At 38.4% G+C, this 24,441-nt stretch overlaps 1 protein-coding gene across 5 annotated transcripts in view; it reads right to left on the reverse strand.

Moving 5' to 3' along the window:
* Nucleotides 1-24,441, reverse strand: part of STARD13 (StAR related lipid transfer domain containing 13) — a 573,658-nt gene that overhangs the window by 398,119 nt on the left and 151,098 nt on the right. For all 5 annotated transcript variants that reach the window (XM_017020835.3, NM_001243476.3, XM_047430759.1 and 2 more), the window contains one exon: nt 22,983-23,117. In XM_017020835.3, the coding sequence (XP_016876324.1) occupies nt 22,983-23,012 (30 nt within the window). In that variant the 5' untranslated portion in view covers nt 23,013-23,117. The remainder of the gene's footprint in view (nt 1-22,982; nt 23,118-24,441) is intronic.

Raw genomic sequence — 24,441 nt, forward strand, 5'->3', positions numbered from 1 at the left:
TCTATAAAAATAAAAATTCACCATTTTGGCCAGGCTGGTCTTGAACTCCTGGCCTCAAGAGAACCACCTGCCTTGGCCTCCCTATTCACTCTGATGGTAGTTTCTTTTGCTGTGCAGAAGCTCTTTAGTTTAATTGGATCCCATTTGTCTATTTTGGCTTTTATTGCCTTTGCTTTTGGTGTTTTAGTCATGAAATCCTTGCCTATGCCTATGTCCTTAATGGTATTGCCTAGGTTTTCTTCTAGGGTTTTTATGGTTTCAGGTCTAACATTTGAGTCTTTAATCTATCTTGAATTAATTTTTGTGTAAGGTGTAAGGAAGGGATCCAGTTTTAGCTTTCTGCATATGGCTAGTCAGCTTTCCCAGCATCATTTATTAAATAGGGAATCTTTTTCTCATTTCTTGTTTTTGTCAGATTTGTCAAAGATCAATGGTTGTAGATGTGTGGTATTATTTCTGAGGGCTCTGTTCTGTTCCATTGGTCTGTATCTCTGTTTTGGTACCATGCTGTTTTGGTTACTGTAGCCTTGTAGTATAGTTTGAAGTCAGGTAGTGTGATGCTTCCAGCTTTGTTCTTTTGGCTTAGGATTGTCATGGCAATGCAGGCTCTTTTTTTTTGGTTCCGTATGATCTTTAAAGTAGTTGTTTCCAATTCTGTGAAGAAAGTCATTGGTAGCTTGATGGGGATGGCATTGAATCTACAAATTATTACCTTGGGCAGTATGACCATTTTCACGATATTGATTCTTCCTATCCATGAGCATGGAATGTTCTCCCATTTGTTTGTGTCCTCTTTTATTTTGTTGAGCAGTGGTTTGTAGTTCTCCGTGAAGAGGTCCTTCACATCCCTTATAAGTTGGATTCCTAGGTATTTTATTCTCTTTGAAGCAATTGTGAATGGGAGTTAACTCCTGGTTTGGCTCTCTTTTTGTCTTTTATTGGTGTACAGGAATGCCTGTGATTTTTGCATATTGATTTCGTATCTTGAGACTTTGCTGAAGTTGCTTATCAGCTTAAGGAGATTTTGGGCTGAGACGATGGGGTTTTCTAAATATACAATCATGTCAGCTGCAAACAGGAACAATTTGACTTCCTCTTTTCCTAATTGAATACCATTTATTTCTTTCTTCTGCCTGATTGCCCTGGCCAGAACTTACAACACTATGTTGAATAGGAGTGGTGAGAGAGGGCATCCCTGTCTTGTGCCAGTTTTCAAAGGGAATGCTTCCAGTTTTTGCCCATTCAGTATGATATTGGCTGTGGATTTGTCATAAATAGCTCTTATTATTTTGAGATACGTCCCATCAATACCTAGTTTGTTGAGAGTTTTTAGCATGAAGGGCTGTTGAATTTTGTCCAAGGCCTTTTCTGCATCTATTGAGATAATCATGTGGTTTTTGTCTTTGGTTCTGTTTATATGATGGATTACGTTTATTGATTTGCATATGTTGAACCAGCCTTGCATCGCAGTGATGAAGCCAACTTGATCATAGTGGATAAGTTTTTGATGTGCTGCTAGATTCGGTTTGCCAGTATTTTATTGAGGATTTTTGCTTCAATGTTCATCAGGGATATTTGTCTAAAATTCCTTTTTTGTTGTGTCTCTGCCAGGCGTTGGTATCAGGATGATGCTGGCCTCATAAAATGAGTTAGGGAGGATTCCCTCTTTTTCTATTGATTGGAATAGTTTCAGAAGGAATGGTACCAGCTCCTCTTTGTACCTCTGGTAGAATTCGGCTATGAATCCGTCTGGTCTTGACTTTTTTTGATTGGTAGGCTATTAATTATTGCCTCAATTTCAGAACCTGTTATTGGTCTATTCAGGGATTTAACTTCTTCCTGGTTTAGGCTTAGGAGGGTGTATGTGTCCAGGAATTTATCCATTTCTTCTAGATTTTCTAGTTTATTTATGTAGAGGTGTTTATAGTATTCTCTGATGGTAGTTTGTATTTCTGTGGGATCAGTGGTGATATCCCCTTTATCATTTTTTATTGCATCTATTTGATTCTTCTCTCTTTTCTTCTTTATTAGTCTTGCTAGCAGTCTATCAATTTTGTTGATCTTTTCAAAAAACCAGCTCCTGGATTCATTGATTTTTTGAAGGGTTTTTTGTGTCTCTATCTCCTTCAGTTCTGTTCTGATCTTAGTTATTTCTTGCCTTCTGCTAGCTTTTGAATGTGTTTACTCTTGCTTCTCTAGTTCTTTTAATTGTGATGTTAAGGTGTCAATTTTAGATCTTTCCTGCTTTCTTTTGTGGGCATTTAGTGCTATAAATTTCCCTCTACACACTGCTTTAAATATGTGCCAGAGATTCTGGTATGTTTTGTCTTTGTTCTCATTGGTTTCAAAGAACATCTTTATTTCTGCCTTCATTTCGTTATGTACCCAGTAGTCATTCAGGAGCAGGTTGTTCAGTTTCCATGTAGTTGAGCGGTTTTAAGTGAGTTTCTTAATCCTGAGTTTTAATTTGATTGCCCTGTGGTCTGAGAGATGGTTTGTTATAATTTCTGTTCTTTTATATTTGCTGAGGAGTGCTTTACTTCCATCAGAGTGAACAGGCAACCTACAGAATGGGAGAAAATTTTCACAATCTACCCATCTGACAAAGGGCTAATATCCAGAATCTACAAAGAACTTAAACAAATTTACAAGAAAAAAATCAAACAATCCCATCAAAAAGTGGGCAAAGTATATGAACAGACTCTTCTCAAAAGAAGACATTTATGCAGCCAACAGACACATGAAAAAATGCTCATCATCACTGGTCATCACAGAAATGCAAATCAAAACCACAATGAGATACCATCTCATACCAGTTAGAATGGCGATCATTAAAAAGTCTGGAAACAATGGGTGCTGGAGCGGATGTGGAGAAATAGGAACACTTTTACACTGTTGGTGGGACTGTAAACTAGTTCAACCATTATGGAAGACAGTGTGGTGATTCCTCAAGGATCTAGAACTAGAAATAACATTTGACCCAGCCATCTCATTACCAGGTATATACCCAAAGGATTATAAATCATGCTGCTATAAAGACACATGCACACATATGTTTATTGCGGCACTAGTCACAATAGCAAAGACTTTGAACCAACCCAAATGTTCATCAATGATAGACTGGATTAAGAAAATATGGCACATATACACCATGGAAAACTATGCACCCATTAAAAAGGATGAGTTCATGTCCTTTGTAGGGACACGGATGAAACTGGAAACCATCATTCTGAGCAAACTATCGCAAGGCCAGAAAATCAAAGACCGCATGTTCTCACTCATAGGGGAGAATTGAACAATGAGAATACTTGGACACAGGGTGGGGAACATCACACACTGGGGCCTGTCATGGGGTGGGGGGAGGGGAGAGGGATAACATTAGGAGATATACCTAACGTAAATGACGAGTTGATGGGTGCAGCACACCAACATGGCACATGTATACCTATGTAACAAACCTGGCACGTTGTGCACATGTACCCTAGAACTTAAAGTATAACAAAAAATAAATAAAAAATAAAAAGAATACCACCTGCCTTGGCCTGCCAATGTGCAGGGATTATACGCCTGAGCCACTGTGCACTGCCTCATATCTTCTTATAAAAAATAAATTACACCACGAAGATGGCAGCAATAGTTGCTCTATTTGAGGCATTGCTAGAAAGGTCTTACTTCTGCAGAAAAGTCCTTCAGCTACAGCCTGCATATTATTCTGCCTGAAAGAAAGCCTGCTTCCCAAGTACAACTCATAGCAGCTTGGGTGTTCAGTGAGAACTGAATAAAGGAGCCCAACACTCCCTGTCCTAAGTCTGTGAGTTTACAACCCCGTGCTTGTTGCTCTTGTAAGCAGAGACTGGGAATAGTAAGTTGATGGCAGAAAGAAAATAAACATTTATTGAGTGTCCTCAATGTGGTCAGCAAAGCACTAAGTTTCACATTTATTATACCATTACACCATTCTTAGAAAAATGTCCCAAATGTTCTACAAATAAGGAAACTGAGAATAAGGGAGGTAAAAATTGAAGATTCATTAGTTGGTAATTGGTATGGCTGGAATCCATCCTCAGGTTTCTCTAGTACTAAAAAATAATTCAGTATATAATACAATAAGTAATTAAAAATTCATATAGAATTAACTCACATTTTTTAAAAAGTCATTTCACAAAAATGAATCTTTATATATAGTAGGACATTAAATATTATAAGCCAGAAAAATTATATATGGTTTTGCACAGATATAAAATATAATACCAAAACATTAATATTATCCTTTTAAATAATTCTTAAACAACAAAACGTCTTTTGAAAGAAAAGACAATTTTCAAATTTGTCTGGCAAACAAATCTGCCGAAGAGCAATGTCTTCTGATTTAACTACATCTTTTGTTAAATTTTTTATCCCCAACTTTCATGAAAATTTAGAACAAAGTATTTCGAAGTCTAGTTTGACATACATTGTTACAGTGACAAAAATAACAGATAGAAAACAATGGCCAAGCCAAAATAGCACCTCATGCTCATGAGTCCTTTTATGGTGGGTCCTCCACAAATATATTTATTTCAGTTCTTACATGATATAGCTATAGTTGTCAAAGTGTGGTCTGCAGAGTCCTGGGCATCTCTGAGACCCTTCCTGGGGGTTTGCAAGGTCAAAATTATTTTCTTTATACTACTGAGATGTCATTTGCCTTTTTCACCATGTTGAAATATTTACTAATGGTACAAAAACAAGGCTGGGTAAAACCGTTGGTGTCACAGCACAAGTCAAAGCAGTGTCCCCCAACTGTACCCATAGTCACTGTACTCTTCAGTGACATGCACTTGTCGGGGAAAAATACAGTGCAAATTTCACTTAAGAAGGTTATTGATGAAGCAGTAAAAATTTGTTTTCTTAAATCTCAATGCCTGAGTACATATTTTTAATATTTGTGTGACAACATAAGAAAGAAGCATTAAAGCACTTTCCTTGCATTTTGCAAGGAAAATACTTGAGGAAAAGCATGTGTGATTGAGTTGCAAGCTGAATCAGGTACTTTTTTTGTGAAGGACCATTTTTCCTTGAATGAACAACTAACAAACTATACTTATTCAGATGTGGGTGTTTGGCAGACATTTTCTCAAAAATTAATAAAGTAAGCCTATCACTGACAATTTTTCTTGTCAACAACATAACTCCAGCTTTCAAGAGAAAATTAGAAGCTTAGAAAATTTGTATTCACCACTGTGAGCTTGACAGCTTCCAAAGACTTAGAGACTTTTCTGAAAATGGTGTTGATCCAAATGGATGTGATATTTTTGATGTCATATAATGAAGTGTCTCAGAAGTGGAAGATCTGCATAACTCAGTGTACCAATATTTTCCAAACAACCAAGGCATGCTGATACAATATCATTCATAGGTAAAAGATACATTCGAAGGGCAAATTTGACCAATGGATTTTAATGTAAAAAGATATGAAAAGCTCATTGGTATGGGTTCAGATTCTACATATGCAGAAATTACCACTTGTTGAGTTTTGGTATAGTATAAAAGAATACATACAATTATCTAAAAAGGCTATTAAAATACTTCTTGCCCAGGGATTGGTGGCTCTCACCTGTAATTCTAGCAGTTTGAGAGGCCAAGATGGGAGGATCCCTTGAACCCAGGAGTTTCAGACCTGCCTGTGCAACATAGTGAGACCCTGTCTCTACAAATTAGCCAGGTGTGGTGGTATGTGCCTGTAGTCCCAGCTACTTAGGAGGCTCAGGTGAGAGGATCGCTTGAGCTTGGGAGGTCAAGGCTGCAGAAGGCCATGATCCTGTCACTGCACTCCAGCCTGGGCAACAGAATGAGACTGTCTCATAAAATAAAATAAAATACTTCTCCTTTTTCCAACTACATAACTATAATGCCAGATTCTCTTTCACCCAAAACAAACAACATAGTTATGAACTAAAGCAGAAGCAGATATAAAAATTCAGTTGCTATTAAGTCAGATATTACAGAAATTTGCAAAAGTGTAAAAAATAGTAATGAAGCAACCAGGTTTTTTTTACATGTAAAACTCTTCTCAATAATTCTTTTTGTTTTGAAAATATAGTAATGTTTCACTAAAATATTCTAATTACATTAACTTTTTGGGATTATTATTGTTATTTTAAATAAAATTATGAAACAATTTTAAAATTTCTGATTCAATGTTTAATAAAGTAAACATTATATTAAGGACTCACAAAATCAGTAGCTCTTTGGGGTCCTTAATACATTTTAAGGGTTAAAAGGGCTCTTGAGGCCAAAGTGTATGAGAGTGACTGTGCTATAGAAAGAATGTGTGTTCAATAATTACAATTGACCCTTGAACAAGGCACATGTTAGGGGTGCTGACCCCCAACACTGTCAAAAATCCAAGCATAACTTGTGAGTCCCCAAGAAAACTTAACTGTTAACACAGCCTACTGTTGACTGCATTCCTTACTAATAATATAAATAGCTGACAAGCACATATTTTATATGTTGTATGTATTATATACTGTATTCTCACAACAAAGTAAGCTAGGGAAATTTTTTTTAAGAAAATCATACGGAAGAGAAAATATATTTATTATTGATTAAGTGGAAGCAGATCATCACAAAATCTTCATCCTCATCATCTTCTTGTTGAGTAAGCTGAGGAGGAGGAGGAAAAGGAGGGTTGGTCTTGCCGTCTCAGGGGTGGCAGAGGTGGAGGAAAATCCACACGTAAGTGGGCCTGTGCAGTTCAAGCCCGTGTTGTGCAAGGGTCAATTGTACATGATAATATGTAACTAAGACTAAAGTGTGTTTAGGTATCTGCCTCCCAACTTTCAAGTCACTTGCCTAAGGTAGGGAATACAGGCTTTTTGATTTAGCATCTTCTTCAGGAAAACCACTCCTCTGCCATTCTCACTGCAAGTGGCTGATCCTACTCTCTGGATCCAGGGGAAGCTGGCATGTGTTGCAGAACTTGCTAAGTATAGTACTACATTCCTAAAAAACTGGTCAGGTGGCCCAGACAGGCCAACAAAGGAATATTTGTATTTACAATTTTGGTTGTGTTGCTAACCCTGCGGATGCAGCCTGAAGCTGCTGGTGGCTGTCTTTGCTAACAAGTGGAAAAACAATTACAGAGTAGCCAACATAGATAGTAGGGACAAGTGGAAAAAAATGTATACTGATAATACTGAACTCTGTAACCAACATGCTTGAAGACAATTGCATCTTTGGCCTTTCTAGTCAGAGAAGCCAAGAAATTCCTTCTATTTAAACTTTTATAAGCTGAATTTATATTATTTGCACTGAAGCGAACCCTAACCAATACAGTATTTGATAGCTGGAAGTGGAGTGTTGTAAATGACAGTTCTTAAAATGTGACACTGGATAAGCTGAGGTGAGAGGGAGGACTGCCCCATTCCTGGGAAAAAGGCAAATGCTGTTGACAGCAAAGCCGCCAGATGAAAGATGCTTAATGTGTATCAGAACTCAAATCATATACAGTCATGTGTTGCTTAACAGCAGGAACAAATTCCGAGTAATGCATCATTAGGCAATTTTGTCATTGTGGGGACATTCTAGAGTTTACTTATACAAACCTAGATGGTATAGCCTATCACACACCTAAGCTATATGATATAGCCTATTGCTCCTAGGCTACTAACCTGTACAGCATGCTATTTTACTGAATACTGTAGGCACCTGTAACACAATGGTTAAGTATTTGTGTATGTAAACATATCTAACATAGAAAACATAGAAAACATAGAAAAGGTACTGTAAAAATATGTTATTATAATCTTATGGGATCACCACCATAGATGCACTCTGTTGTTGACTAAAACATCATTATGCAATGCATGACTTGACTGTAAATATCAAGTTTTATGGAATCAGGAAAAAGATGCCAGAATTTTGGAGGTTGTTGGCTACTTCTTTTGGCCTTCAGTAAGACCATATAGGAAAGGAACGACCTTCAGCCTCATCTGGCAGTTGCAGAAGGAAAGAGGAAAAGGGATTTGGTCCTTCCTAAGAGTCATCCTTTCTGCCTGCTCCAGGCACTCCAAAATGGCCAACAGCAGATAACCATTGGCCTTTAGGATGTGTAAATCTCTGCCCCATGCTAAATTTAGTACAAGCAGGAAACATAACGGGAAAAGAGATTGGGATCCTGGTCAACCAGGGATCTGGGTTCCAAACACTTGCTGCTGTACATTCAAAGAGAGCAGGTACAATTCTACTCCAAAAGCCATCCCTAGGAATTCCACCACTGAGGGGTGAGGATCTGTGTGATTTCAGCCCATTGCCTCCAAGTGTGAGGCCCAAATGGCTAGGGAGAGGGGTAGAGCATAAAGGCTGATTGCTAAGAGGGAGAATCAGTGAGGTTTGGAACCAGGCTGATGGGCCATGACTCCACAAAAGCTCTGGCTTTGTTACCACTGTAGGGAGTATCCAAGAAATTAACAGAGCAACAGCCAACAGATCTGTCAGGAGAGGCTGTGGCATTGCCAGTGAAATGCCAAGGCTCAGCAAACAGCCCAGAGAATGCCTAACTCGTAGGGCGAATTTTCAGTGCCCAAACCCACACCCACAGGAAGGAGGAACTAAAATGTTCTAGCTGTTAGAACAGGAACTTCCTGGTGTCCATCTGACGCATAGCTGTGCAGGACAATAGGAAAGGGAGTTCCTCCCAGAAAGCAGTGAAGGGCCAGCCAGATTCCTGAACAAAGAACTCCCTCCACTGCCAGGTCAGAGAGTCCTTGCTCTCTTTGCCCAGCAGCATGAGATCATTGTGATGGACTTGAGATCAATCTTCAGTGGTTGCCCTTCTCGCCTTTTCCAAATGGAAGTTTTATTGCAGTGATGGCATTTTCTCTCTACCAATGTGAAGTGGCAGTGCTAAATTTATCTTTTAGCCAGAGGTTGCCAAGCCACGATGAGCTACATTTAGACCCAACCAAAAAAATGTCATAACTTAGAGATTCTGGAATTGAAGTTGAAAGCAGTAACTGGATGAGCCTAAGCATAGTCTCCCTTTAGAGTGAAGGTAGGGAATTTTTTCTGGTAGAGGTATATTTGCAAGGGCCACTTTGAGAATTTTATAAATAGAAAGAAGGCTCATATGGATACTGGGCAGCCAAGGGATGGAAAGATAATGAGAGACATAGTTAACCTGTGCTTTGTTCAGCTCTTTAGGAGCTTTTTCCCATTCTGAGTCCAAGTTCTTTAGGTGGGGCTCTAGAACTCCTGGCTCTAGGGCTGCTATCATGGAAACCTGGCCAATAAAGTACTGGATTTCTTCATTCATGGTGATTACATCCAGGGATGATCACATGACCAAAGCCAGGACAATAAAAGCTCTCCCTGGGTCTTCTGTTGGAGCTATTGAAAAATTGACTTTTTATTTTTATTTTTACTAGAAATTCCAGCTGCCAGTACAACATAAACTAGGAACTGCTGCTGGTCATTTTTGCCACATTGTGGGGAGAGCCTGCCCAATAATGCAGCCAACTTCAAGTTTAGTAAGCAGAGAAAATTATTTTGAACTTCTAAATCTAGTCATATCTAAAGCTGGACTGATAAGCCCTGGTTTTCCAAATTATTTGAGTCAATAAATACATTTTTGTGTACTGAGTTCACAAGCCAAATAATTGAAATTGAGTTCACAAGCCAAATAATCCTAACAGCTAATTAAAATAATTTCTATTTCATTTAAATTCTTTCAAAGAGAAATAATTGAGCTGACACCTAAATTTTTTTTTTCTGTTTAAAAGCTGATGTTGGCCAGATGCAGTGGCTCATGCCTGTAATCCCAGCACTTTGGGAGGCTGAGGTGGGCGGATGACTTGACTAGCCAAGAGTTGGAGGCTAGCCTGGCCAACATGGCAAAACTCCTTCTCTACTCAAAATACAAAAAATTAGCCAGGTATGGTGGAGTGTGCCTGTAATCCCAGCTACTCGGGAGGCTGAGGCAGGAGAATTGCTTGAACCTGGGGGGTGGAGGTTGCAGTGAGCCAAGATCACACCACTGTACTCCAGCCTGGACAACACAGCAAGACTCCATCTCAAAAAAAAAAAAGTTGCTGTATTTCTGCAGTCCAAGATATATTTATTTATTTAACAAATGTAACATTTCAGTACAGGAATTGTTGATTTAAAAATCTGTAGGGAAAACAAAAAAATCACTGTAAACTGAGATGGCATTAAAAGGTAGCTAAGGTCACAAAGATCTGTATTAGAGGGTGATTCCCCTGGACAAAGTGATGATGAGAGCCAACCATTTACTATTTATTATTTGTATCCTACTTACGTTTAAAAATTTTTTGTGTCTCTTTGCAATAAAAGGTACTATGTAATGAAACCACTAAAGCAAATTAAAAACTAAAAGATCCAAATAATAAAATGAAGGAAGAGGAAGTTGTATTGCAAATCCTAGGCGGAGTCTCCCCACTAGAGTCAAGTACAAAACTGGTCGCTGAGCTTCTGAAAAGGCAAAGCAAAATGGATATCAAAAAGTTCCGTACCATGGTTATCTTAATTGAAGGAAATACTTCATTAGGAGAGATTACTTGCTTCTATCACTAAAGTTTAAAAATAACTAATTACCTAGCTCTTTATACACTAGCCCCATGTAATAAAATTGAGTCTTTAACAGAAGCTTCATAAAAGATGCAGAAATGCTCTTTTCACAGCTCTTATAGAAAAAAAATTGGCCATTAATTAAAGCTCAGAGGCACTTGTTTAATTGTAAATCCATGAAGACAATTTGGATGGAGACTTTGAAATAAGGAAGGAGACACAGGCTGTTTTTAGTAATGTGGCTTGGTATTTGAGCAGATTTTGGAGAATGTATTCCAGAAGAAAGTGTGGTGGGTGGCATGTCCCTTAAGACCACTCTTCCCAATTAACAGTTGACTCACAAAATCTTGTAAATAAAGGTTACACAGCAAGCCACTGGAAACTAAAGACTAAGATCAATCTTAGGAGATTAAGTGCCAAAAGAGGACTGCTGATTAAAGTGATATCTACATGCACTAAAAATCCTATTATATGTGAGCAAAATTTTACAATGCAAATCAGTCTTGCTTTTCTTACAAGATGAGGAGTAATAAATACTGTTAAAATGCATAACTAAAAGCTTTCAAGATTAAGAGTCTTAGAGAAGTGTTAGAGTCCTTAGAGCAAAGACAGGTGCTTTTTAAATTTACTATGTTTTTTCACTCTTTTTTTCTTTTTTTTGAGGCGAAGTTTTGCTCTTGTCGCTTAGGCTGGAGTGCAGTGGCGTGATTGCGGCTCACTGCAAACTCCACCTCTAGAGTTCAAGTGATTCTCCTGCCTCAGCCTCCCGAGTAGTTGGGTTTATAGGTGCCCGCCATCACGCCTGGCTAATTTTTTGAATTTTTAGTAGAGATGGGGTTTCGCCATGTTGGGCAGGCTGGTTTTGAACTCCTGACCTCAGGTGATCCACCTGCCTCGGACTCTCAAAGTACTGGGATTACAGGCATGAGCCACTGCGCTCGGCCGTTTTTTCACTCTAACCATAGCTTCATCCCAGGTTCTTGAAAGCTCAGATTGCCAGCAAACCACTAGAAGATACCAGAGAGTCCTGGAACAGATTCTCCCTCCCAGTCCTCAGAAGAAACCAACCCTGTGCATATCTTGATCTCAGGCTTCTAGTTCCAGAACTGTAAGACAGTAAATTTCTACTGGTTAAGCCACCCAATGTGTGGTACTTTGTTATGGCAACCCTAGTAAAATAATAACAACAGCCACATTCACTTGTTTATATATTGTCTACAGCTGCTCTCATGCAACAACAGCAGAGTTGAGTGGTTGGAACCAAAACCACATGGCCTCAAAGCCTAAAATATTTACTATCTGGCCCTTTACAGAAAATGTGCTGACTGTTGACTTATCTGATGAGTGAGATAGGGTAAAGGGTCACCAGGCATATGAGGTTTATTCTCCTTGTCTTTCTCCTTTGAGAACTGTTTGATGATCCTTGCTCAGCCCCTCTCTCTTTCACACAGGCTGACTCACCTGGGATCACTGAGTTCTATTTGGGATAAGAGTAGAAGAAAATAAGAAGACACTTGGGGTCTGAGGCGTGGTCTCCAATTTAGCTTTATCAGCAATAAAGTGTTTATTTTCTCTCTTCCTGATAGCTATACATATTTCTCAATTGATTTCAAATCTGGGAGGAGAGACATACGTGATTCACTGACTTCCATGAACCTCAACTTCTTCCTCCTCATAGTATGAAGGTGTTGGAAATCTTATTTCCCTCTTGAAGTTTTCCCAAAAAGGAAGTGAGTGCTGACTTGTTTTTAACCTGGCCATATCCTCTCTGAAGATGCAATTCTCATGACTAATTTTTAAATTCCATAGCACATAAAACTATTATACTTGCACTCATGCTCACAAAGTTTAGATTTTTTTTCATGCTATGCCATTATGTATTTATGAGTCTCTGTGTATGCTTTTATAGATCTAAATTACTATAACCTTTCTTAGATTATGAGCTTCTGAGCAGATTTTTGTTCAACTTGCATTCTGGTTTGTTTAATAGCAACACAGTGCTATGCTGTTAATATGTTTCCCCCATTAATGAAGTCCCCACTAATCCACCAACAACTTTATTCACGTAACGTAACAAGGAAGATAATTTTCAAGATGAAAAAGACACTGATAATAAATAACAGCTTTGTAGATTGAGAGAAAAATATTTTAACCTCTAATAAAATATATCTAGAAATGTGCCTGAGAAAGTCAGCCTCTAATCTGTCACCTGTAGCTTGTAATTAACTAAGTTAACCCATTGATATTTATGGAAAATACCCATTACACACATGATTCTCTCTGACATCAGTAGATGGAAGGGCATGGAAGATAATAAGATTAAATAAACAGTTGGGAAAATACCTTGACGCTCAGGCAGAAAAATCTGGCTATGATTCAGTAGATGTTCACAAAGTGTAATGGAGAAAATGGACACAGTGTTTGGGAGGAATTGTAGAGGTCTTAGCTTAATGATCTAAATGAGATAATGTGTCTGGCTTGTGGGAAGGAGGAGCAGGGTAGGCCCAGCAGGGTCTGTTTGCTTGAAGGATCTAAAGACACTCAGGGAAATAACTCATCGAAAGGAAGGACGGCCATGGGGTGCTGCTGGAGAAATTGTTGGGCTTGTTACCTAGTTATCTAGTTACCAGTTGCATCTGGCTCAGCCTCTGTGAGCTGGTCTGGGAGAGAGGGTGGCGGTCAAAAGTGAGTAAAAGTGGAAAGAGCAGTTTCCTTAAAGACTCTGTTGAGGGCAGTGTTTAACAGTAGGTGCCACAATGGAGGCTGGAGGGTAGGGTGGGACCAAGGGCATGTTCCTACTCTGCTGTTACCTTTGCAGCTGCACGCTAGAACAGCCTCTAGCTGGACCAGGCAAGTGACAGAGCAAAACACAGGGGCAGCATCAGGATCTTTGGAGGGCTTCAGCTACACCACAATATGGACAGTGACAGATGATACCATGGATTCCAAACAGTCATAACAAACAAAAAAGGAGCCTGCCATGATGCAGTCTACCAATCCAAGTTTTAGACATACGTGGACCTCTCCCCCGGCACCCCACTCCCACCAAGATTCCTCGGGAGAAAAAGAGCCCAAGGCTTCTAGAACTGGTGGGCAGAAATTGTAGATGGAGTGTGAATAAATGGGAGTGGAGCCTCGGAAAGTGTGTGGTTTTACAATTACCGCTTCCAGGTTATGTGGCCTGGAAAACACCACTTACAAAGATGTAGAAGAGGAGGTGATGTAGAGTAAAGGCCAGAGTACTAGAGGCTGGATGTGTTAAATATCAGCTGTGTGACCTTGGCCAAATTATTCAAATGTTCTGGCTTCAGTTCCTGTATCAAAAAAGTGGAATCTTTCAAATGTCCTCACAAGGTTGTGGTAAAGCTCCAATGTGTGAGAAAACCCTTTACTCTAATGAAGAGTTATTATTATAATTACATGGAGTATTGCGGAGCAGGCTATTTAGAAAAGGTTCTGAGAGCACTGATTTACAAGATATGCTGCCAAATAATTCAGCTGTCTGCTGGTGTAAAAATGTTTTTGTGTCTTCCTAAGCCATTTCCCAAGAAAGTAATTTTTCTCACATAAGCAATTGTCTCAGCAAAACCTAGAGCCTCTTGAAATGAAGGATTTTAGGAGCATCCACTTTTGTCCGTGTTCTCCAAGGAGACGAAACAAGGAAAGTGCAGAGATAGCTGGCACAGGAGAAATGAAGGACAGGAAAGCCTCTGGGGCACTAGAAAGTGGGGACCATAAAAATCTTGGCCTTATTTTAACATTTCTCAGAATATAGAAGAGTCAGTGTATCAGCTTGTTGGTAGTGATGGTTCTACTGGGAAATCTTAACTTTAAATTGCCTGCCAATCTTTATTTTGCGTGTCCAAGAAGAACCATTTATCACTTTTATGAAGCCACTGAAAGTCCACGGTGAGGGATAAAACTAATTATTGAGCAGTACATGTCCTCACACTAAATACATAATGAGAGTAATGGGCTGAAGGCTGTAGAGATGGGTAGTAAATGTTTTGATAAAACAAATCTAAGATGCTTTCGACAGAAAGACAGCCCTTCTTCATCTCCACTAATTCTCTGTTGCCCACCTGGGGAGCAAGTTTCTGACAATTAGCGATTCTCTGTGATGATGGATTTTATCTGATAGCTTATCTCCACAGTATATATAGCCTTTCGTTAGCCAATGACAGTAACCCAGGTATGCATATGACTTTCACTCTTAGCAAAGCAGTTTTTATATATATATCCACATATATATACACACACACATACACACACATATATGTTAACTTTGTATATATAACACTCTCAGAAGTGTTATATATAATTTATATATAATATATAATGTATATATAATTCATATATATGAATTATATATATTTATGTCATAATATATATTCAGTATCTATAATTCATTATAATTCATAATATAATGAATTATATATAATTTCATATATAGTTGAAATTTCATATATAGTTGGAGTATTACTGAAACCCAGGGCAATAATTAAGCATATCAGTTTCAGCTTTTCTTACTTACCTTAAGAACACCGAGAACATTTTTGAATGAATTCCATCATCATATTTTAATTCAAAGTAAAAAAACATATCCCCTTACATGCATCTGAAGCCTATTCAGTAAACTCTACTGGTCAAATAAATCTTCCTTTGCCAGGCTATTTCTTGGGAATCCATATCCAAAGTTAATTTGCTTAATTTTTTCTCATTATTCTTTTTAATGCTCTCTGACTTAGATTCTATAAGATTATCTTTTTATTGGTTAAACAATAACAAATGGCTTTGGTCATCATAAAGTCCTTCCTATTGGGTTACCACCTAGAGCTTCTCTGTCCATGGCCCACAAATGCCTCCTGAGCTCTTGGGATGTGGCTAGTCCAAATTGAGATGTGCCATAAGTGTAAAATACAAACCAGATTTTGAGGACTTAGAACCCCTCAAAGAAAGTTACATATCAGGCCAGGCATGGTGCCTCATGCCTGTAATCCCAGCACTTTGGAAGGATGAGGAGCAAGGATCACTTGAGCCCAGCAGTTCGAGGTTGTAGTGAGCTATGATTGCAACACTGTACTCCAGCATGGGCAACAGAGCAAGACCTTGTCTCAGAAAAAAAAAAAAAAAGGAGGGAGAAGAAAAAAAAGTAATATGTCAGTAATTTTTGTGTGTTGATTACATGTCAAAAATGATAAGATTTAGGATATATTGGTTTCAATAAAATATACTATTAAAATTAATTATACCTGTTCCTTTTACTTTTTTTAAAGTGGCTGCTAAAATATTTTAAATTACCTATGGGGCTCAGTTTGATGGGCAATGCTGAACTTTCAACTCTGCATCATAGGTTTTTATCACAATGTTCCCCCCACCCTATTCAAGCTCATCCTGCCCTCTTTTTTTGTCCCATGGGCATTAACATCACCGCTGAACAGCTAAAACCCAATTCGTTTTGCCTACCTCTACCTCAACCAAAGAAGAGTTCCTTGGCCCTCATTTGCTGGAGGATAGATGTAAGAATTTGATGCTACTCATATAGCAAGTATGCTGGTCCTGAAGTTATTCCATTAGAAATTTTAAAAAATGGTTTTCCTTATTCCTAAAATGATGTCTGAAGACTTAAACCAAAGTTGGCAGAACAGGGGCAGAATGTTCACAGATGTTCCTACTGGCCCTGAAGGCAGAATTGACTTTCTGGAAAATTACATCCAGTAAGACAGTTCTACATGGAGTGAAACAAATTTAGTCCTGATATTCAAGGGAGTGCATAAAGGTTCCTCTGATAATGTGGAGTTAATTAAAAGGGATGGCCAAACTGATTGTGTTTGTCTTGAAGGAAGTTCATAGGCAGTATCAATCCAGCTCAAGGGAGCAATGGGGCTGGATATTTTCCAAGCGTTTGCCATCAACAGCTGGACATACTCTTGCAATTGTGATTTGCCATTCTTTTTACGCTTCTGATATTTTTCGGACAAATAAATCCATACAGAGACATGTTTATAACAAACCATTGTCAATCCATGATGTATACAAACCTGCCTCACAATAACCAGACTGTACTGAGAACCGCCTGCCCTGTCTCTGTGTCCTGTCTACCTACTGGCTGCTCCCTGCCACACTCTTTCTCCTCCTCTACATCTGCTTCTGGGACTCATTATTTAAAAACAATGGCAAAAACAAACAACAACAACAACAACAACAACAACAATCTTGAAGCTTTTAGGGAATCAGTGAGACTAGAAGTTGGGGGCAGGAAAAGGCTCTGAAAAAGCAGAAACAACTTCCAGGAGCACAGACTTCTAGACAGGGCTAGTCAGCCTGTGTTGTGCCCATTTCTGAAACAGTTTCTTGTGCATTACTTGGTTTGCTTTCATTTTACTGTTACACTGCCAAAATTACCCCCCATCCCAGATTTACTTGGGCAAGACAGGATCTGTTAAAAATGAAGATACTTCAAGAGTGTTAAAGTATAAATTTATCCATCGAATTGCCCTTCTACTTTGGACTCACTGCTTGTATTCCTCAACAGTAAGGACAGCAATCTAATTTCAATATGAAGGGTTAGAAAGCCGCCTACCTGTGGCTACTCCTGAAATCCACCAAGATAACATTCGTGCAGCTCAAAAAGCTATGCCAAACTGCCTCTCAAGTTTTCTCCAGCAAAATGATTTGAAAACTAAAAAGATTCAGGAGACCTCATTTTTGTTATGCAAATATGGGAGGGGAGGTGGGGCACCAATTTATGGTCCTGCGGTCTTAACTGTAGAGAAGGAAATTTCCCAAGAGGTGACAGCTGTTTGGGGAGGGTGGGGAGGATGATAGGGCTGAGTAGAGGCAAGTGGCACAGTTTGATAACTCACCTGTCACACTCACTCTCCAGGAACAGCTGTGTAATCACTAAAGAACCTGAACTTCAAGACGCTGATATTTATGGCCAGAATTCACAGTCACTTCTGCACTTTGCATACCTTGATGGAGACTTTTCTGGATATTTAAAGTCTGTAGGACCCTGCTGTTTGTGTATGAACCAAATCTATTTCTACCCCTGGTCAGAGCCTCCTGCCATGGGCTAGGCTATTCCAATGGGTCCTGTCTTCCATGAGTCATATAAGGTCAAGGCACATGATGACAAAGATTCTCTGCTTGACCAAACATCTAAACCTCCTAGGCCCATCTGAGCACTTTAGCAAGAACCCTGCTAAGTCAGCTTAACAAGCCTGCATACCTGATGCCCCTCAATATCTGATCAGATTCATTATGCATCACCAGCCCCCAGGTGATGATTTCTGATTACCCTGGCCTGTCTTCAGCAAGAATCCTCTCAGGTGGGTTTAGGCAGACTCCCACTCCTGTTGATGATATTTCCTCTTGGTAATTTTTTCTTTCTTTCTTTCTTTCTTTCTTTCTTTCTTTCTTTCTTTCTTTCTTTCTTTCTTTCTTTCTTTTCTTTCTCTTTCTTTCTTTCTCTCTCTCTTTCTTTCTCTCTCTCTCTCTCTCCTTCCTTTCTTCCTTCTTTTTTCTTTCCTTTTCATTTTTTTTTAAGATGGAACCCCATCACCATGTTGGTCAGGCTGGTCTTGAACTCCTGACCTCAAGTGATCCACCCACCTCGGCCTCCCAAAGTGCTGAGATTACAGGTGTGAGCCACTGTGCCCAGCTGGGAATTTTTTTTATCCACTGGCCTCCACCCTCCTCCTTGGCTATAAATTCCAACTTGCCCATGCTGCATTTAGAGTTGAACCCAATCTCTTCCCCACTGCAAAATCTCATTACTGTGATTCCTATACCTATCTTGAAGTGCTTTAGCAAGCGCCATTACATAATTTTTTTAGCAATGACCAACTTAAAAAGCCACAGAAAGCATCGTTGATGGTTAATCCCTTAATCTCTGTTCCAACTTCATAACACAGAAAATCAACAGTGGAGAGACCTTGAAACATTAGGAAATCATTATTTCTCCCGTCTTTTTGTAAGAGATGAGGTATTCGTAATATTTCCAAGTCCTGCATAGAGCCAACTCAACACAAAAACAGCAATTCTTGAAGGTCTACACAGAGAAGGCACTCCATAAATATTTGCAGGCCGACTTGTTCAAATGTGTTTTTAAGAGCACTGCAAAATGTATACCTTGCTTTACTTGTAAATGTGTATTTTCTCTAAATATCCTCTTCTCATAGATATCCAGTCATTTTCAGTTGCCATCTGGTGCATAATTTCTGGCACAGGTGTGGGCTGCCCAGGTCTGCGGAGTGGAGAATTTATTGCAACAGTCGATGCTGCTATCCATTCAAGACAGAGGAAACATGTGATCAGTAAAGGCTATAAAACAAACCAGAATGAAAGCCTTGAATTTTTCAGAAATGCCATGTTTAAAAGTACTTCTTTAATAATTCAGAGGAGAAATATGTTTGTCTGGTAGCTGGGGTGATTTCATGGGTGGATATATCTAGTCAAGGCCTAAAGAATGCAGTGGCCACATGCGGTTGTGACTGCATATTTTCACCCACACAACTGGGCTGTGTTCCTGAGACAGATGCTGTTTTACACAGACATGGCTTAGTAGGTATTAGTCCTGGCAAATAGTTCCCAAAGCTGCAGAAGACATAAGGACCTAAATAGCCTAGAATAGTTCATCCTAATTTAATCATAAACACAGTATAAAGTACTGTGTTTTATACTCCAAGACGTTACTTTTCTTTTTAAACAATAGCGGCCAGTCTAACTTCATCTGCTGGACCACTGTGTACATTCAGCTTGCCCCTCGGGTAGTGCTACCTCAGCCTGGTGGTCAAAGTCATTCTGCCTTCCCCACAGCTGCTGTCGTGAGGATTTGCTTCACATACACTTCTGATCCCTTTGTTCTTCCAAAAATCCTTGGAACTTCCCCACTGTGCATCCCAAGCAGGGATCCCTGTGATTGTCATGCAGGAAATAATGGCGAGGAAGAAGTTACATGAGGCAGGAGATCCCCCATGCCCCCACCACCTGGGGCTTCTCTTCTCCCATATTTCCATAGCTAAAGTACAGGCTTTTCCAGCTAAAGTACAGGCTCATCTGTCAAATCTCTATCCCCCACACTAGGTCTCAACTCTTACAAAGCCTCCAGATATTCCTTCATTCTTACTTAGCTTCCCCAATTAGAGTCTAGGAAGTTCACTGAGCACAGGTGGCCTTGAAAGGATAGATAAGCATTACTCAGGACCCATCACCTACCTGTCTCATCTCCAACCAACGCACAGTCCTAGCCCCATGGGAACGACTCGAGCTGGGAGAGCCCATGCCCTCAGTATTTGTCAGGAACTGAGAGTCACTTGTTTGGCAGTCAGGCCTAGATTCACAAATGAGCACATGTTCCTCAGACATGTTCTACAGGGCAGTGAATTTTACACATCAGGTAATTTATGGCTGAAATAGGGTTATGCAGGCTAGCCTGTGAAACTAAGAAAATAATGTCAGATGAATGAAGGTACACTAGATTGAAGAATTTGTTTTCTATCTTGACAGAAATTCAGCCAATGGCAATTTTTCTCTGTGGGAGCTTCTGAGTTCATGATAGTTGAAAGAATTAGAAGTGAGTTGACTCTTTAGAAGTTGTTCTCTAGAATAGGAAAACAGCAAGGGAAACAGAATCTATTGTCTATCTTCCTAAAGATTCACAGCTAGAACAGCATCAAATGGGTTCCTCTGCCACATGGGCCCCAGCTTGCATGCTGCCTGTTTACATGTTACCATCTTGGAAGGAATGCCTATTATAGACAGTGGTAGTGAAAGCAGATAATAGAAAAAGATGTTCAGAGGATAAGTAGATGTCAGTATTAACACCTGAGGATATATATTTCTCCTCTCCACTCTGTGCCACTAAGAATTGACAGATTATGATTTTGTGAACGGACCGGAAAATTAAATATTCCCTATGTTTTTACACAATAATTTATAAAGTTATTCTGTCCCTATCATGAATGAGCTAATTTGGAAAGAAATTATCTATCCAAGGATAATTAAGAGCTTACTACAAAAACAAAGAAACAAGATGAAAAAAAATACTATTAGGAAAGCAGCTAAGGCAAGTCCCAAATGCCTCTTTAATAAATTACATTCCCTTAAGAGGCAATAGACAATGAGTTATAGCATTAAACTAAAGATAATGGCTTTTTCCTTTTTAACTTTCATTGTTAATTTTTAAGAAAATCAATAAATATCTAATAAATACTTTCTTCTTGGGCTGAGGAATGTTCCAAGTAGGAAGTCTTGTGTAGAAGTTTAATACTATTTATCAGGCATTCTTTACGAAAAAGAAACAAAATGTGGATCACAGTAAATATAATTAAGATGTGCTATATTTTTCTTTTTTTAATTGAAAGCAATGTTTTTACAAAATAAACTTCACTTTTTAGAGCAGTTTTAGGTTCACAGCAAAATTAAGAGAAAGGTACGGACATTTCCCATATGGCACCTGCTCCACTCATGCACAGCACCCCCATCATCAACATAGCCCACTGTACCCTGGAGTGGTACATCTGTTACAAATAATGGACCTCCACTGACACATCATTATTACACAAAGCCCATAGTGTACAGTAGGGTACACTGTTGGTGTTGTATATTCTATTGTATATTCATTTTGACAAATGTAGAATGACATGTATTCACCATTATAGTATCATACACAGTAGTTTCATTCCCCCAAAAATCTTCCATGTTCTGCCTATTTATCCTTCCTTCCACCTAACTCCAGCACTCACGGATTTTTTACTGTCTTCTTAATTTTGTCTTTTTCATGTATTAACAGTTGAAGTCATACAGTATGTAGCCTTTTCAGATTGCCTTATTTCCCTTGGTAATATGCATTACCTTTTTATAAAGGCATTACAAAAGCTCTCTTGTGTATTGGTAGTGACAGACAGCATGGAGACCCAGACTTGAGTACTGGTTTTGCCCCCTTGGGCAAGTCACCTACCTTTGCTAGGCCTTGGTCTTCTCATTTGTAAATTCAGCATAACATGAATAGCTACCCTGGTAACTTTGCCATGTTGTGAAGGTCAGGTTTTTTCTCTAGAAAATTAAGGTAGTAATGCCTTGCAGGGCTGTTGTAAGGATGAAATAGGCAATGTGTGTGAGAGCTTAGCATTGTGCGTGGAACATATTCCATGTTCAATCATGGCAGTTAACAATGTTATTTTATTATCACGTGTGCTGAATATTTTCCATTTGACTATCTGAAACTACTCTCTGCTTTTTTCCACCTTGTTCTGTGGGGCACAGTTTCTAAAGAATGGATCAACTTAGCTCCTTTCCTCCTGACTTCTCCATGGATTCAGCCAGCAGGAAGTCCCAGGAGGAGGTTAGAAGATGGGAGGAGGAAGAAATTGGGTATTTATTCCCTGAGCCTCTTCTTTGTCAGGCAGAAGTTTGGTTGTGGCTGTATTTCTCTGTGAAGGTCAAAGATCTTGCTGAGCCACCAACACTTTAGAATTGTTGATTTACCTTAACCCTGCCCATATCTTGCTGAGTAATTTCTTAAATTATCCCTTTCTAGGTAATTTTTAAAGTTTCTCTTGTTTACTGTCAGAAGGACACATGATGTTTGCCTTTCATATTTATTTGTAAAATTATTATTACCTTTTTACATTGTAAAGCAGACAAGGCATCATAAAATCAAGAACTATAAGCAACTGTATACAACCTTGCAAATTATTACTTAAAATCCTTCTATATCTAACACTGGTCAGGACTTATGAAGGCCTACTTTCAGATTCAATTTTTAAAAAGTGAAAAAAATTTAAAAGATTCAAAAAAGTTATAAATATAATGAAAAGTTGTAAAACGTCTATAGAAAAGGTTGGTCAATTTTTTCCTCATTAAAAATATACCCCAAAATGCAACAACAACAACAAAACTCTGTATATTATTTTGAGCTTGGTAGAACAAAGGCAATTTTCGAAACAAAGTGGATTGAATATTAGTAGCTGATGTTTTCTAGATGTGATTCCCACTCTTATGCCTCTTTTCTGGATCTCCGAACAGTGGGAGACAGACTAACCCGACAGGGAGACTTTTAAACATAGTTCAAGGAGATTTGCATTTGCAGCATAAGTTTTTACTAAAAATGAAGAGATGAATTGAAGTATGTACAATCCACTGCCATGGTTACAATGGACTAACCGTTTTACCTTCAGCAAGAGCATTTTTTTCTAATTTTATAAATATTAACAACTATATATGTTCTCATTACAAATTTTCTCATGTTGTAATGAAACACTAGTTAATGCTAATGTTAAGTTTGAAAAAACAAACAAGAAAAATAGATAATTTGTGAACACAGTGCTGTTTTTACCTTGGTGAATTACACCGTATGAACAGGGCAGGACACTCACACCAGGGGCATATGTAAGAAAACTAAAACTTACTTTAGTTTTTGGTTGAGTTCCAGTTGACATTTGGCTTGGCACACCATCAAGATTCTGGATGTTTGCAGTTTTAGTTCTACAAATTCCTTTCTTCTGATGATTTTTCTTAGGATTACTCTCCAGGTTTATAGAATCCTGTAAAAAAATTTTTTAAAGAGGTTTTTTTCATATATAAAGGACTATCCTTAGGCAATAGTTCAAGTTAATTAAAGACTGTTACATCAATAAAAATTTTTTTAAACTACAATCATTTTGAAAATTGACATAAAATGTAAGAATATTCTTAAATATTAATAATTTTTCCAAAGACATTTTTGGTTAGTGAGATCAGCCCCAGTAAAGCCTAAGGACTTGATAATGTAAGTTTATAAACTAAAAGTGATTGTAAACTCTCAAGATAAATTATAGAACTATATTGGCATTTTTTAAAACTTTAAAAACAAAACCAGAGGTATTTTATGTATTTATTATAATCTTTTATTTTTTAATTGACAAATTAAAATTGTATATATTTATGGTGTACGATATGATGTTTTAAAACATGTATACATTTTAAAATGGTTAAATCAAGCTAATTAACATATGCATGACCTCAAATACTTATTTTTGTGTGTGCGGTGGGACCACTTAAAATCTACTCTCGGCAATTTTCAAGTATGCAGTATATTAGTATTGATTGTAGTCACCAGGTTGTGCAGTACATCTCCTGAATTTATTCCTCCTGCCTAACCAAAATTTTGTATTCTTTGATCACCAAAAGTGTTTTATTTTAGTTTAGTTTTATTTCATGATTATTTTCTTAGAGACAGGGTCTCGCTCTGTCACCCAGGCTGGAGTGCGGTGGCATGATCATAGCTCACTGAAGCCTTAAACTCCCAGGCTAAAGCAATCCTCCTGCTTCAGCCTCCCCAGTAGCTGGTATTAAAGGCACTTGCCATTATACCTGGCTACATTTTTTTAGTTTTTGTAGAGACAGGGTCTCGCTACGTTGACCAGGCTGGTCTTGAACTCCTGGGCTCAAGTGATCCTCCTGCTTTGGCCTCCCAAAGCACTGAAATTATAGGAGTGAGTCACCCTGCCTGCCTCCAAATGTGTTTTTAAAACTGAAGTAATATTGAAAAACTGAAATAATAAAACGATGTTCATATAGAGCCACAATGGTCTTTTAAGCCTTATGATTTCAGACCATATGTGGTAATAGTGGAGAACAATTTATAAGATTATATTTCTGAAGGTTAACTATGCAAATAAAATTATTTAAAAATATTAATATATTAGTATAAAGAGAATCCTAAAATTTCTAAATACAATAAAAGTTCTTTTCAAGAAAGTTGGATGAATTTTTATCAAATTGAAGTAATAAGTTTGTCTTTACTAATTCCTCCCATTGCTTGGAAGTCTTCCACATCTCTCTATGTCCAAGTTATCTAGAAGCCTCTACTGCAATGTTCTGTCTTGG

Source organism: Homo sapiens, chromosome 13 (assembly GCF_000001405.40).
Source record: "Homo sapiens chromosome 13, GRCh38.p14 Primary Assembly".
NCBI classification, from domain to species: domain Eukaryota; kingdom Metazoa; phylum Chordata; class Mammalia; order Primates; family Hominidae; genus Homo; species Homo sapiens.